This window comes from Homo sapiens, chromosome 4 (genome assembly GCF_000001405.40).
Source record: "Homo sapiens chromosome 4, GRCh38.p14 Primary Assembly".
NCBI classification, from domain to species: Eukaryota; Metazoa; Chordata; class Mammalia; order Primates; family Hominidae; genus Homo; species Homo sapiens.
Window position 1 is genome coordinate 81100869 of NC_000004.12, and position 16626 is coordinate 81117494.

The 16626-nt window shown below is 36.9% G+C and overlaps 1 protein-coding gene across 10 annotated transcripts in view; it reads right to left on the reverse strand.

Moving 5' to 3' along the window:
* Positions 1-16626, reverse strand: part of PRKG2 (protein kinase cGMP-dependent 2) — a 130467-nt gene that overhangs the window by 13499 nt on the left and 100342 nt on the right. For all 10 annotated transcript variants that reach the window (XM_017008415.2, XM_017008416.2, XM_047415963.1 and 7 more), the window contains 3 exons: positions 9580-9743; positions 4945-5067; positions 3502-3564 (listed from right to left, as the gene is read on the reverse strand). In XM_017008415.2, coding sequence (XP_016863904.2) covers positions 3502-3564; positions 4945-5067; positions 9580-9743 — 350 coding nt within the window. The remainder of the gene's footprint in view (positions 1-3501; positions 3565-4944; positions 5068-9579; positions 9744-16626) is intronic.

Below are 16626 nucleotides of genomic sequence, written 5' to 3' on the forward strand. Positions count from 1 at the left end.
AGAAAAAACAAACAAGCCCATCAACAAGTGGGCGAAGGATATGAACAGACACTTCTCAAAAGAAGACATTTATGCAGCCAAAAGACATATGAAAAAATGCTCATCATCACTGGCCATCAGAGAAATGCAAATCAAAGCCACAATGAGATACCATCTCACACCAGTTAGAATGGCGATCATTAAAAAGTCAGGAAACAACAGGTGCTGGAGAGGATGTGGAGAAATAGGAACACTTTTACACTGTTGGTGGGACTGTAAACTAGTTCAACCATTGTGGAAGTCAGTGTGGTGATTCCTCAGGGATCTAGAACTAGAAATACCATTTGACCCAGCCATCCCATTACTGGGTATATACCCAAAGGATTATAAATCATGCTGCTATAAAAACACATGCACACGTACGTTTATTGGGGCACTATTCACAATAGCAAAGACATGGAACCAACCCAAATGTCCAACAATGATAGACTGGATTAAGAAAATGTGGCACATATATACCATGGAACACTATGCAGCCATAAAAAATGATGAGTTCATGTCCTTTGTAGGGACGTGGATGAAGCTGGAAACCATCATTCTCAGCAAACTATTGCAAGGACAAAAAACCAAATACTTCATGTTCTCACTCATAGATGGGAATTGAACAATGAGAACACATGGACCCAGGAATGGGAACATCACACACCGGGGCCTGTTGTGGGGTGGGGGGAGGGGGGAGGTATGGCATTTGGTGATATACCTAATGTTAAATGACGAGTTACTGAGTGCAGCACACCAACATGGCACATGTATACATATGTAACTAACATGCACGTTGTGCACATGTACCCTAAAACTTAAAATATAATAAAAAAAAAGAAAGAGAGACAAATAGAAAAAAGAAAAAAAAAACAAAATTAAAGTGACTGGTTCTCTAAGAAAAAAAAAGTTTTACTTTAGAAGAGACTGAGAAAATCTGATGCCAAACTTTAGAAAGAAGCTTTTTTGTTTGTTTGTTTGTTTTTAACTCTAAGAATATACTGAGTAGAGAAGCTACGCAGCTTAAAGACTTGTGGAAGGTTTTTAAACACTCCCATTTGGAGAGAAAGATCAAGTTTTCTGATGTTCCCCACCTTCAGCTTTATAGCTTAAAAAGCACTATGAAAATAGAATGAAAAAATGCTTCTGAGCATCTACACAACCGAAGACACCGTAAATTTGGTATATCTTATTAATCAACTCTATACTCTGCACTCAGAGTCTATATTACATATAGCAAAGACAATGTTGCCTATTAAGAAGGAATAGACAAATTAATCCCTACAGGGAAGGAAATTCAAAATTCTTTATTGCTATGCTGAGGTGAGAAAATCCTTTAGCAGCAATTTGCATGTGCATCTAATGACAATTTGACAGCTACATTTAAATGAGCCTCAGGTAAAGAAGTAAAAGCTAAGCTGGAGCCTGTTAACAGATATATCACTTCTATTTCCCAGCTATGCCAAAGCATAACATGAAGAACCTTCCATAATGAGAGAAAGGAAGAATGTATATTGGAAGAATGGCTTTAATTGACAGAGCACTTGTTTCCTCAATATGAATAGTGTGTTTCTGTGTCATTTCATGATGAGAAAAGAAATTGTGATAACAGCATGGAGCGCTGGAAGAAAATAAATTAGAATCTAAGACAAATAATGAGCTTTACAGCTGAAGGCAATCCAAAGGATAGCACAGAACATTAGAATAGTACAAGCATTTTGATTCTATAAAATCTACATGTGTCTTTATCTTTCTTTCCTTCCTATGTTTCCTCCCTCCCTTTCTTACTAAAAACATCCTTAAGGCAGAGCTCAATATGAATTTACAGTATTGAATACATGGCTTTATGTCGAGTAAGTTCATTAACACATACAGTAAAATTGGCAGGTTGATTTTTTGTTTTTGTTTTGAAGCTGTACTGCTACTGTTAAGAAACATGAATAGCATTTCTATTCAGCAACAGCCCTTCTCCCTTTATGTTCATACCATGTTGATGTGCCCCTATTTCTTCAGTGAAAAGATCTATAAAGGAATGAGGTGTTTTCATTTCTAAAAGTGAACATATCTGTGTAGTCAAAGGATTTCAATAATAAAAGTCTCAAATGTATTTTGCACTATCTACATATTCTTAAAAGTAATTTTTTTATCTGTGAATCATGAGCAAAATGAAAACATCTTAAAGATGGCAGTAGTTATCCAAGCACTGATTTAACAAGCCAAAACCTGAAGGTTTGAACCGCCACATTTGAATATTTAATACATCAGAGAGGATGTCTTTTTTTTATTATTATACTTTAAGTTCTAGGGTACATGTGCACAACGTGCAGGTGTGTTACGTATCTATACATGTGCCATGTTGGTGTGCTGCACCCATTAACTCATCATTTACATTAGGCATATCTCCTAATGCTATCCCTCCCCGCTCCCCCCACCCCACAACAGGCCGTCTTATGAAGGTTATCAATGGCTCTAAAGGCCAGCTTTAAAAATTCACAGAACTGAAAAAGTACATGTCAGATTACTGCAAAAGGATAAAGCATGGTTTGAGGTTCTGTGGAAACCAGTGAAATCAATGTCCATTACCCAAAAAGTAAAATATAATATGAGGGTTAAGAATTTGAGGATATTCAAAGGAAAATTATATTTAAAATAAATATATATTAATTAAACCTGAAATAGAATACTTTTTCACAGTTGATTTAGGTGAACCATCCTCTTGAATACTGGCAACAACAATGTTATCTTCTTTTACTTACAAGTTAAATGCCCAAATTAGAATGTAATTCCTTCACAGATTCCAAGTTGATATTTCAAAGTATAATAAATATGTACAGCTAGTATAGATCAACAAAAATACATACTAGGATCAGGCATGGTGGCTTGTGCCTATAATCCCAGCACTTTGGGAGGCTGAGGCAGGTGGATCATGAGGTCAGGAGTTTGAGACCAGCCTGGCCAACATGGTGAAACCCTGTCTCTACTAAAAATACAAAAATCAGCTGGGTGTGGTGGCAGGTGCCTGTAATCCCAGCTCCTCCGGAGGCTGAGGCAGGAGACTCATTTGAACCCAGGAGGTGGAGATTGCAATGAGCCAAGATCGTGGCATTGCACTCCAGCCTGGGCAACAGGGTGAGACTCTGTCATAAGAAAAACAAACAAACAAACAAACAAACAAAAAAACCTAAAGAATAATAAAGACAGAAGTGGATAAAAAGTTAATTTGCTATGACTTGAAGATGTGATTTTGTAACTTCTTTTGTAACTTCAGTCATTCTTGATACGAATTTCCAGCATGAGACAAATCACTTTGAGATTGATTATTATAACTACATCTACTAAAACACAGATAAAAAGCAAAGCACTATAAAGAAAAATTTGAAAGTCTGGAAAGGGACCTTTGTGGCCTCCTGAGAGAAGCTTTTGCAAGTACCACATTGTTCTCTAAATTTCTATATTTTTCTGGGCAAAGAAATAATTATGTACCTGTGTTTCTTAATGTCATTTATTCCATTCTTCAGATTTCCCAGCCTTTCTGTTGGATTTTGCCTAAAACAATAATTTGTAAAAGGCAATTTATAATAATTATATTTATAATAATTATAATTCAGAAAATTTTAAATTAAAACTTAACATCTATTTGTTAATTAATTAATTCATTCATTCATTAAAAAACATGCATGAAGTTGCTACTGTAGACCAGACATCTGAGTTTAGGGAGGTGAAAAGACACGACCTCCTCCCTGGAGGAGCCACAGTTAAATTAGACTTCGGAGTGTATATATATATATGTGTGTATAAGGTATGAATAAATACTTTAAAGAACAAGCAGGCACTATCTTGCCAACTGTGCTGAGAAAACCGGGGCAAGCTTTAGAGAATCATTTACATCTAAGCTGAAATCTTAGAAGCATACTGGCAACCCATAGCTACGTTTTTAGTTCTAAATTATACTAAATTGTAATGCTTTTTTAAAAGTTCAAATAGGAAAAAAACAGCAAAATGAATTTTAAACAAAAAAAATCCAGAAGTCTCCTATTCTCTGATAAATTATTTTTAATGGTAAGTAGAAGTTGGGGTAATTTAAAATAAGAACAGAGGAGCACTTTTTAAAAAATGAAGATGGAAAGAGGTCATATAATAACACTTCATTATCACGACTAATTTTCTTTCAAAATAACAAGATTATTATAAATAAATTACTCCTATTTTATATTGTGAAAATTTATGTGGCACATGAGAAAATTCGTTACGCGTATATAATGCCTAGTGATCAACTCAGGGTATTAAGGATGTCCGTTGCCTGAGTATAATACATTTTTGTTAAGTATTCAATTGTCCTCTTTGAACATTGAATTTATTCCTTTTATCTTACTGTATAATTACCTATTTAACCCACTTCCCTTCAGCCTCCCCTCTCCCTTCCGAGTCCCTGATATCTACATTTCCGTTTTCTATCTCCATGTGTTCAAATTTTTTAGCTCTTACATAGAAACAAGAACATTGAATATTTGTCTTTTTGTGTCTGGCTTATTTCACTTAAGATAATGACCTTCAGTTCCTTCCATGTTGCTGAAAATGATATGACTTCATTCTTTTTCATTGCTGAAATAGTAAATTACTCCTTTTTTAGCCTAAGGTTTATGGTTTATTTTGCTCTCTAACAGATAAAGATGATACCCAAAGGTTGTCTGAAAAATTTAGATCTTTTTTTAAACTACTTCATAAGTAGGTACTGTGATTCTGTAATGTGAGGTCAACTAAAACCCCCTACACTGCAAAACAGAAAATGACTTCCTTCAAATATAATTTGCCTATATAAAAACAGCACAAAAAGTAAATATGCACCTAATTTTAAAATGTGTAGAAACAGAAACCGAAGCCTTTAGACTTTCTTCAAGACAAGGGGTTACTGACTGTCATTCTCACCTGCAAAGCCTCCGAATCAAATCCTCAGGTCGTCGTGTTATCTTCCTGGGAAAATCCATTTTTTCAATTCCTTTGAGAATCAAATTGTAGGTCATCATTTGGTCAACCCCAGAAAAGGGTGGGCTAGATAGAGAAAATCCAGAACAGGACACATTAATAACAGGGTCTGAGATCACATTTGGAATGAATTTTCTTTCTTCCTTCTTTCCTTCCCTCCCTTCTTTCATTTCTTCCTCTCTCTGTCTCAGTTGTTTTACAACAAATTTAGATATATCCTAGAATATCATCTCACTAATTTAATATCGCTTAGCACACAATACACACACACATGCACATACAGGTAATTGGTCATGTGTCGATAATCACTAATAATAAAATAAAGAAAGGGACAGAGAAGGTGTGATTTTTTGAGATACAGTAAATAAGAAAAGCCTCTCATAGGCTGACAATTGTGCAGACGTATGAATAAAGAGAGGGAAGGAAGTGAATGCACCGCACCACTACCTATGGCAGACAGTTCTAAGACAGGAAGCACAAAGGCCATGAGTCAGGAGTGGGCCTGGGAGGTCCTGCATAGTGAAGTGGGCAGTGTGGCTGGTGGAGTGAGGAAGCAAGAGGGGAGTACATAGATGAGGACAATATCGCATAGATGAAGTGGGCTATCAGAAGGACCTGGGGATACATTCTGAGCAGGATGATCTAAATTAGAGCAGCCAGAGTAAGGTTTTCCTAATGTGTAGAGGATAAACTATGATGATGGTAGTGAGAAAGTCAGGGGCAAGGAGCCCCAGTAACCTTGCCTAGCATAGTAATGTTGAAAGTAGTGAGATATGGCTGGATTCTACATCTACTTAGACTGTGCAATAGGCTGAATGTCTGTGTTCCACCAAATTCATTTGTTGAAACCCTAATCCCAGTGTGATGGTATTTGGAGGTGAGGCCTGTGGGAGGTAATTAAATCAGAAGGGTGAAGCCCTCATGAATGGGACTGGTGCCATTCTAAGGAAAAGCTAGGGAGCTAGTTGCCTGGCTTTTGGCCATGTGAGGATACAAGGAGAAGTCAGCAGTAACTCAGATTAGGATGCTCACCATAACACAACCACCCTGGTAACCTGATCTGGGACTTCCAACCTGCAGCTGTGAAAAATAAATGTTTGCTGCTTAAGCCACCCAGTTTATAGTATTTTGCTATAGCAGCCCAAGCTGACTAAGACACATAGTAAAGCCATCAAAGTTTGCTAATGGGGTGAATAAGGCATGTGGGAGAAACAAAGAATTCAAGAATGATGCTAAAGTGTTTTGGCCTTGTTGCAGTTATTTCCTAAGAGGAGAAAGACGGAGTTGGGGTGGTGTGCAGAGCGGGTTATGGGGAAGGGAATCAAGAGTTATGTTTTAAACATCCAAATGGAAATGCTAAGCAGGAAGGTAGATTTATGACATAGGCATTTAGGAAAGGGGTTAAGGCTCAAAGTGTGACTTGCGGAGTCATCAGACAGTATTTATGGCTATGAGAATTGATGGTATCATCAAGAGAGTGAGTGGGTAAAAAGAGAGAATAGAGGTCAAGAACTGAATTGGTCCAATGTTGAGAGGTAGGAAGATGAAAAGAATCTAGCAATGGAGACTGAGAAGGAGCCACCAATGTGGGAAAAGAACAGGGAAGAAAATTCTAGAAGCCAAGTGAAGAGAGTATTTATTTATTTATTTATCTATTTATTTTAGAGGGAGTCTCACTCTGTCATCAGGCTGGAGTGCAGTGGTGCAATCTCGGCTCACTGCAACCTCCACCTCCTGGGTTCAAGTGATTCTCCTGCCTCAGCCTCCCAGGTAGCTGGGACTACAGGTGCACGCCACCATGCCCAGCTAATTTTTGTATTTTTAGTGGAGACGGAGTTTCACCATGTTGGCCAGGATGGTCTCAATTTCTTGACCTCGTGATCCGCCCGCCTCAGCCTCCCAAAGTGCTGGGATTACAGGCACGAGTCACAACACCCACCCGAGAGTATTTTTTAAAAAGTACTGCTAAGATCAGTAAACAAAGACTGAGAATTGGCCACTGAATTTGGATAACATTTTAACTCATATACTTTGCTTTCAAAAACACTTTCGAGGCCGGGCATGGTGGCTCACGCCTGTAATCCTAGCACTTTGAGAGAATGAGGCGGGAAGATTACCTGAGGTTAGAAGTTCGAGACCAGCCTGGCCAACATGACAAAACCCTGTCTCTACTAAAAATACAAAAATCAGCTGGGCATAGTGGTGGGCACCTATAATCCCAGCTACTCAGGAAGCTGAGGCAGGAGAATCGCTTGAACTCGGGAGGCAGAGGTTGCAGTGAGCTGAGACTGCCTCACTGCACTCCAGCCTGGGCAACACAGCAAGACTCCATCTCAAAAATAAATAAATAATAAAAACACTTTCATATTTATTCTATTATGCCATTTAATTTTTGAAAATTAAAGATGACTTTCCATGAACTACTTTTGCTATATATTAGTCACACTGGAGACCTTGTGTTACTGAGCTTTCCCACTCTAGATAATAAACGAGACAGTCAGTGTACCAACTTTTTACTAAACTATATTTCACTTGTAAAGAAAATGAGGCAGGAAACCAAAAACATTGTTATGATATATTCAACTTATTTATATATTAACACTATTGGTTTTTTTTTTTTTTTTAATTTTCATTTCCCTCCTATGCTCTGGAGTTCAGGGCATTTAAAGTTAACCTTTCTCATGCCCTACCCAGAAAATCATTTACAGGTCAAACAAAACAATTGTTACAAAAACAGTTTCTTGGCCTAGTGTGATGGCTCACACTTGTAATCTCAGCACTTTTGGAAGCTGAGATGAGTGGACTGCTTGAGCCCAGGAGCTTGAGCCCAGCCTGGGTAACACAGTAAGATACCATTTCTGCAAAAAAATTTTAAAAATTAGCTGGGCATGGTGGCATGTGCCTGTAGTCCCATCTACTCTGGAGGCTGAAGCAAGAGGATTGCTTGGGCCCAGAAGGTGGAGGCTGCAGTGACCAGTGATCACACCACTTCATTGCAGCCTGGGTGACAGAGTGACACCGTGTCTCAACAAACAAAACAAAACAATTTCTCAACTTCTTTATGACCTACTCCTTCTAATATGTTATTCCAGCTGGTGAAAACTGACATACATATCTGATTACCTATAGAAGCCAGCATGTATCTCTTACAAATGCAGCTGACAAATTTCCCAGAGAAACAAATTTTTGAAATAGAATTCGTTGTGCCCAAGCCCTTAAACAACTTTTCTCTGAATGACTGAATATTTTCTCTTCCTTCCTTCAGAATCTTAAGCAATGAATATTTGAAAATAATTACAGACAATATAAAATGGTCTTTCATATTTGTTTGCTCAATGCAAGGTGTAAAATGTAGCCACAGATAGTCTAACACTGAAATTTGTAGCGTAGAAAGTTCAAGAAGATTCTATGAAACTCTTTTCATAAAGTATGTGTTAAGACTTGTATCTTCACCAATAGACTCGTTCTAGTATTTCTTAAACCATTCCAAATGCAAATCCTCTCTGAAATTAAGACTGAGAATATTTGGTTATAAAGGGTTATAAGGATGATCAAATCAGTTAACCAGAAATGGAGCTAGAAAACCAGAAAGAAAATTGATTTGAATTCTGTGTGTGTATGCCCATGCATTGTATCATAAACACATATAGAAGGAAGGTGCGTCACATTTAGTCAGAAGATCTAGTATTATGTTACTGATCTTGGACAGGTAGCTCTCTCACCTGGTTTTCTAATCTATAAAATGTAAATCATAAAATAATCATAATAAAAATGTAAATCATAAAATAATCATAATAAAAATTCCTAACTTATCTTCCACACAAGCTTGTCAGAACTAAACTACATAATACACATGTAAGTGCTTTGTAAAATGTAAAGTACTTTACAAATGTGAGGTAATATCACATATAGCCTGTGTATGTGTGTTTGCGTAGGTGTGTAATGTGTGTATGTGCATTTAAATATTTGAGATCCTGGATTCACTAACACAGTCCTTTAATCTCTTTGGGAATGACAATTCAATTTTCACTGCTAAAACCCCTGCAGTGTCTTGTCTCTGTTCATTAGCACCTCTAGAAAGCAGCTGACAAGAGGATTAAAATTTAAATCCAGAAATGGTGCTTTGTTCTAGCATTTCTGGTTAATGATATGTTGGGAAGATGGATAATTTCAGTTTAATTGATCAATGGATTTAACTGAACTCAGATTGCTGTTTTCTCCATTACACAAAAAAGAGGAAATAATAACACAGCCCAGAACTTTCATTCCTTCTCTTATTATTATGCTGAATTATTAAAGCCTTCATACTTAATTTGTTATCTACAGTAATAGGTCTTGCCACGTTAGGTAAACCACAGCAATTCTATATTCCTTTCCTTTGCCTTCCTGAATCTTTTCTTTATGTTATAAACCAGCAAGTTCACTGTATGTGAAACAATGTCATGAGAAAAAGGTATCATACTTAATCGAAAACATTTTCAAAATGTTACGCTCTTAAAGTATATACACTTTATCACTAGTTAGGTTATTTTTGCATTTCTCTGAAGAGGTGGCTGCATAAAACTTGAAGGTACATACTTGCCCGTTAGGAGCTCATACACTAGAATTCCCAGTGACCAGAAATCCACACTGAAGTCATGTCCCTTGTTGAGAATGACTTCAGGAGCTACATATTCTGGAGTCCCACAGAATGTCCATGTTTTCTGTCCAGACCCTATTTTCTTCGCAAATCCAAAGTCAACCTGGTAAAGAATAGCAAAGAAATTGTGCAGAAACCATAAAACTCATGCTCCTCTTTAAGCCTCCCTCTTACCTCTGAAATCTGCTTTCTACACCCCACCCTTCTTTTTATACCATGCACACACACACACACACACACAAAGAGAGAGAGAGAGAGACAGACAGACGGACAGACAGACAAAGAGACAGAGAGACCACCTCGTGTATTCCTTTGCAGGGTCAGGTGTGTATCTAGTTGCACTGCGGAAAGTTCCATGCACATACCTCTCTGCCCACGACCCCTAGAGGATATGGAGGAATGGCTTAGCAAAGGGGATCCATAACAACAACTTTGAAGCTCAGGGCAAGCAGGACTAAACAGATGTTTAATTCAAAAGTGGTATTATTTGGGAAGAAGAGACAAGGAAGAAATGATGGACACCTGAGCAAGTAAAGCTCCGTCATGAATGTAAAAATAAAAACAAAATTGAGAGTTTGGGAAATGGACTAATGCTGAGAAGGGGGGCTTAATACTCTGGACAGTCTTTAAAAACCATCATACACAATGTCTGCACCCTACACATTTTGGCAGTCGAAAGCAAAGTCAGGGTAATATCATGCCAACTTTGTCTGGGCTCTATACACTTCTTGTCTCTCAGGAAGGTGAGTGGTGGGCAGTATCTACGTTAACTTACTTATTCGGAAAACATACATTCAGCACCCAGTCAAGGTCAGGCTTTCTGCTAGGCCTATAGATACAAAGTTAACTCTCAGACTTCAGTGCATTAGCAAAATGTACACAAACATGATTAATATTATATCATGTTATACATGATTAATATTATATCATGTTATACATGATTAATATTATATCATGTAATACATGATATAATTGAAGAAAGTATAAATTCATAGGGCAAAAATCATATATGTCAAGAACATTAGGGAGATGATGGTTGGGGAAGATGTTATTAGCAGGTGACATCTGAGCTTGGCCCTGACTGAGGATTAGGAACTCTCCCAGGGTAATGAATCAGTGCTACCGTCCTCCGTTTTCGCAAAATAGACCTTTCCTCTTCTCTGAGGCCCTATTCAAAGAACTCCGTGCACAGAATAGACAGAAAAAAAGCTGGAGCTACAGAAGGGCCCCTCATTGAATCGAAGCAGTGTATATGATCAAAATCCTTCCCTGCAAAACACACAGTTGGTTTTCTTTCACAGGGGTATTTAGCAAATACTTTTCATCTCCAATATATACAGATATTATTCTAATAAAACTATCCTCCACCTTCCTCAAACAAACAGTCACAAATTGTTTCTGGGCTTCAGCATTTCACATTTCACATAGCCTTTCTCAATAATACAGCAACAATCTTGGCTAAAAAATAAATAAACAAGGTTCACATAACAAAATAAGCCCTCATCTAAAAAAAGTATGAGTCATTGAACTATAAAATCCAGCCCCTATTTATTTATTCAAATATTGGTATTTAAAATCTTAATTTACCTTAAATAAACCCCTTAGAAATTTACCATTTTACTGATTGCTTTTAGTATTTATCACACAACAGCAAGGATTTTCCTATTGGAAAAAAGGAATTTAAACAATCTAATTTGAAGTGGGCTTTTGCTGATTTTTTCATCCACACAGAATGACTCACAGTGATTATATCTACTGTGTGGTTGGGAATATTACAAAATTAAAATTTGTAATCAGCTGAGACTAGCACATCAACGTATTCCTCAGAGAAAGAACCAATATGAAAATCCTAGCTAATTTTATAAAGACTGAAATTTAAAAGGCAAGAAAGTAATGTTTATAACTGCATTTGTATGCACACAAATATGAAAATATTGTTTTGTTGGTTTATAACAGACTTTTGACGCATTTCTTTATTAATTGCATTTAAGTTCTCCTCATAAGGATCACTGGAAGCTTACCAGCTATTTAGGAGAATTTCTCTAGCTCTGAAAGTGGTATATTTCCATTTGAATTGCTGGTTTAGCTTTTGTAATATTTGCATATTGGCCTAAAGAGATGGCAATACTTATATTAAAATTTCAAGACTGATGTAAATGTATCGCTTTCTTTATCTCCTTTGATCATATCAACTTTGGTCTAATCCATTTCGTCAGCGGAAACTGGACACTCAGACCTATTTAAGACAAGTGCCTAATATAGAAGGCCCCAAATCTTCTACATCAAGTTTTGTATATTTTCTATAAAAATCACGCTATGTCTGTCTTGTACCACCATGGATACTACCAGAAAGTCTCAGTCTTTTTTCACCCCAGCTCTTCTAGACAACAGAAAGTTAATAAATAACTCAATGAATATTTATTGAGTACCACTATATACCAAAAAGACTCACTGAGGCGGTAGCATTTGAGCAGATTTGAGTAGAAATCTCAGTGAGGTAAGTAAGAGAGCTCTGTAAGCATCCGAGCGGCAGTCGTGCCACCAAAAGGAAGAGCCAGTGAAAAGGCCTGAGATGGAATTATGCATGGCAGGATCAAGAACTGGCAAGAAGGCCAGCGTGGCTGGGCAAAAATGGATGAGGGGAAGAGAGGCAAGAAGTGAGAGCATTGTGGGTTTGTAAACCACAGAAATAACTTCAGATTTTTTTCTTTTCTAAGAAATCACAGTAAGATTAACAGAAGGGGTATGGCATGGCCTGACATGTTTTAAAGGGATCAATCTAGGAGACAAGAAAATAGACACCCTCCCCTTTTTTTTCAAATTCTACTAACAAAACTGAGGTTTCAAGAAGAGCACCCCCCCTTTTTTTTCAAATTCTACTAGCAAAACTGAGGTTTCAAGACGAGTACCTGAGGAAGTTGTACACAGGTTTGCCCTTGTCTCTATTAAATTCTCATTATTAACGATGGCGTACATCATGCTGAAAACATCATCTCCAAAGATTTTAATAAACTAGAAGGTTTTAAAATGATTCTAAATCTGCACTGATGATTGTATCATTCAGAAATAGAAAAATTTGCATTGTGGCTTGCTGGAGCTGGTATCCAGTAAGTATGAACTCTTTCCCAGAAATTTCTCTCTGGGTCAGTAAATTTGTCAGATATTGGTTCTCTTGGTCACATAAAAATGGACACAAAATGGCCAGTCTAATTAAACCAGATGATTCACGGTGACATGCCATTCCAAAAAAATATTTATGTGGCATTTTTAGTGTACTTCCTTTACCCAAGTCTAGACAAGGGTAAAATGGAATCTGTTTAACCTGTCCACCAACAACCAAAGTTGATTTAATGTCTTTCTGCTACTAACGTCCATCCACTAAAAGAGGCAACAATGGATGGTTTTGATTGAGTGGAAGTGAAAGTGAAAGAGGCTAAGATATGGGATGAATGAGTCTTTCCAAGTAATGACCCACTCTTTATGTTTGGTGTACAGATTCAGCTGAAATACCTAAGAGTATTTAGTAGAAGGTGGGCGAGATGAAGGGAAGACTTGCATACCCCAGGACAAACAGGAAATATTTTTTGAGGCTCATCTCATATGCCACCACTTATTTGAAGTCTTACTTGAATTTACAGAACCAATTCCCTTCTCCTGTGAGGTTCTGTAACACTTTTTATATTCCAGAATTACAACCCTGGTGCCAGTGGTGTCTAGTTGTGAATAAATCTAGCTCCTTCGAAAAGGCAATGTATCCTATACATTTTGTACCCCTATAGCATTTGCAACACAGATGTTCAACCTGTGTTTGGTGAAAAAAAAAAAAGAATTGAATGAAGAGATAATCATTAACGTCAGTTTTAGTAAGACATAATGAGGTTTAGGAAGGTCATGGATACTTGTCTATAGTAAAATTTGAACCAGGTTCAAAGGGAATCTTCTTATATAAATTGATGAGGAAGTAGAAGGTGTTTAAGTGAGAAGCAACAGCATGTGTTAAGCACATTGGTGAGAGAAACTTAACTGTCAAGTACAGCTAATAATGGTCTGGCTAATAATGGTCTGGCAATACAAATATGGTTTGAGTTGGTGATTATTTTTAATTTTCAATTTAAAAAATAATTGATACATACAAAATAATGTGACACATAAACAAGTTATAAAGCATGAGAATAAAAACACCCCTGCACCTACCAACAGTTTAATAACTAAACAGAACCAACACAGAAGCCTTCTGTCTTCCTCCCACAGTGCCCTCTTGCTCACTGCCCAGAGGTCCCACTACCCTGACTTTTGTGTTCACCGTTTGCTTGCATTGATTTCTAATTTATCCACAAATCTAGTATCCTTAAATACTTTATAGTTTTTTTAAATTTTAGATAAATCTTAACATATTTGATCTTGGGCAAATGTCTTTTTTACTGAAAAATTATATTTGTCAATTTAATCTATACTCTATATAGTCCACTATTTTCACTGCTGTATTATAACACCATTGGATTAACATAGCATGAATTTTTGTCCATTTTGCTGTTGAAAGATGTGTGTTATTTCCAATCGTGTATTATTGCAAAAATGCTTCTATTAACATCATTTTCTAGGTTACGCAGTAGAAATGTATACAAGAGTAAAAATGCTGGGTCAAAGACACGGTTTCTCCAACTTTACTAGATATTGCCAAAATTTTCCAAAGGGATTGTATGATATTGCCACCCCTTTGTATAAGAGTTCTGACCGCTCTACATCTTCACCATCATTTAGTAATATAAACTTTATATTTTTTGCCACCTGTGAGTATAAAATCACTGTGGTCTTAACTTGCCTTTCCTCCACTAATAGTTTGAGTTATAGCATTATAATTAGTTCTCATATCTGAGGGAGCAATTTATTCCCACACTGTTCTCCTTGTTTATCTTCAGAAATGTGTTGTCTATTTTTGGCCCTTGGTTACTCTACATAAGTTTTAGAATCAGTTTGCCAAGCTTCACAAAAAGTTCTGCTGGAATTTCCATTGGAAGTGTATTTAATTTGTAGCTGAGGAGTGATTCAGAAATGCAGGTTTCTTCCATCTTAGGGCTGTGTCAACTTCCAATTGGCTATGTTCATTAACAAGCCAGAAAGAGTGCATAAAGATCAGCTGCAAACAATTTTTACAGTTCAGGTCTGATAGTGGTAAACATCACTTTTGCTCACATTTCACTATCTAGAACTATGCCACAAGGTCACAACTAACCAGAAAGAAGTCTGAGATATACTGTCTAGCTCTGTAACCAGAAGAGATAAAAAGCCATATTACCTATTAATTTAGGTCTTTTAAACATCTTTCCATAAATTTTTACGTTTCTCAATAAAGCTTTTATACACTTTTGTTAGAGTTAGCTCTAGATACATATTTCCGTGCTTTTTGTAAATGGCATTTTTATGCCTATGTATCAACTATGTTTCTGGTATTTAAAAATACACTAAGTTATTGTATTATTAATCTTACATCCACAACTATACTAAACTCTCTATTTGAATCTTTTTTTTAACTTTTATTTTAGGTCCATGTATACATGTGCAGGTTTGTTATATAAGTAAATTGTGAGTCACAGGGGTTTGGTGTACAGATTATCTCATCATCCAGGTAATAAGCATAGTACCTGATAGGTAGTTTTTTGATCCTCTCCCTCCTGCTATCCTCCACCCTCAAGTAGGTCCTGGTGCCTATTATTCCCTTCTTTGTGTCCATATATACTCAATATTTAGCTCCCACTTATAAGTGAGAACATGCAGTATTTGGTTTTCTGTTCCTGTGTTAGTTCTCTTAGAATAATGCCCTCCAGCTCCAACCATGTTGCTGCGAAGTACATGATTTCATTACTTTTTATGTTTGTGTAGTATTCCATGTTATATATGTACAACATTTTCTTTACTGTTGTTGGGGATTTAGGTTGATTCCATGTTTTTGCTCTTGGGAATAGTGCTGTAATGAACATATGTGTGCATGTGTCTTTATGGTAGAATGATTTATATACCTTTGGGTATATACCCAATAATGAGACTGTTGGGTTGCATGGTAATTTTAAGTTCTTTAAGAAATTGCCACACTGCTTTCCACAATAGCTGAACTAATTTACAATCCCCTCAGCAGTGTAAGTGTTCTCTTTTCTCTGCAACCCTGCCAGTATGTTATTTTTTGATTTTGTAATGTTAGCCATTATGACTGGTGTGAGATAGTATCTCACTGTGGTTTTTATTTGCACTTCTCCCATGATTAGTGATGTTGAGCATTTTTTTCATATGCTTGTTGGCCACATGTATGTCTTCTTTGAGACGTGTCTGTTCATGTCCCTTGCCAATTTTTAAATGGGATTGCTTTTCTTCTTGTCAATTTGTTTAAGTTTCTTATAGATCCTGGATGTTAGACTTGTGTCAGATGCCTAGTTTGCAAAAATTTTCTCCCATCTGTAGGTTATCTATTTACCCTGTTGTTACTTTTTTTTTTTTTTTTTTTTTTTTTGAGACAGGGTCTCACTCAGTCACCCAGGCTGGAGTGCAGTGGCATGATCTTGGCTCACTGCAGCCTCAACCTCCTGGGCTAAAGCAATCCTCCCATCTCAGCCTCCCAAGTAGGCAAAACTACAAGCGTGAACAACCACACCCAGCTAATTTTTATATTTTTTGTAGAGACGGGGTTTCACCATGTTGCCCAGGCTGATCTTGAACTCCTGAACTCAAGCAATCCTCCCTCCTCGGGTGTCCCAAAGCGCTGGGATTACGGGCACTGTGCCTGGCCTCTTGTTACATTTGGGATTTCCATAGATTTAATCATATCACCTGGAAGGTTTTATTGTTCACTTTTCAATCCATCTTTTAATTTTATTCATAGTTTTCTGCATTGGGACCTCCTGTAAAATACCAAATAGAAGTACTTATACCACTGACTTTTGAGAGTTAGTGGTATACTTCCAATGTCTCATAATTATGTACAGTGTTTGCCCTAA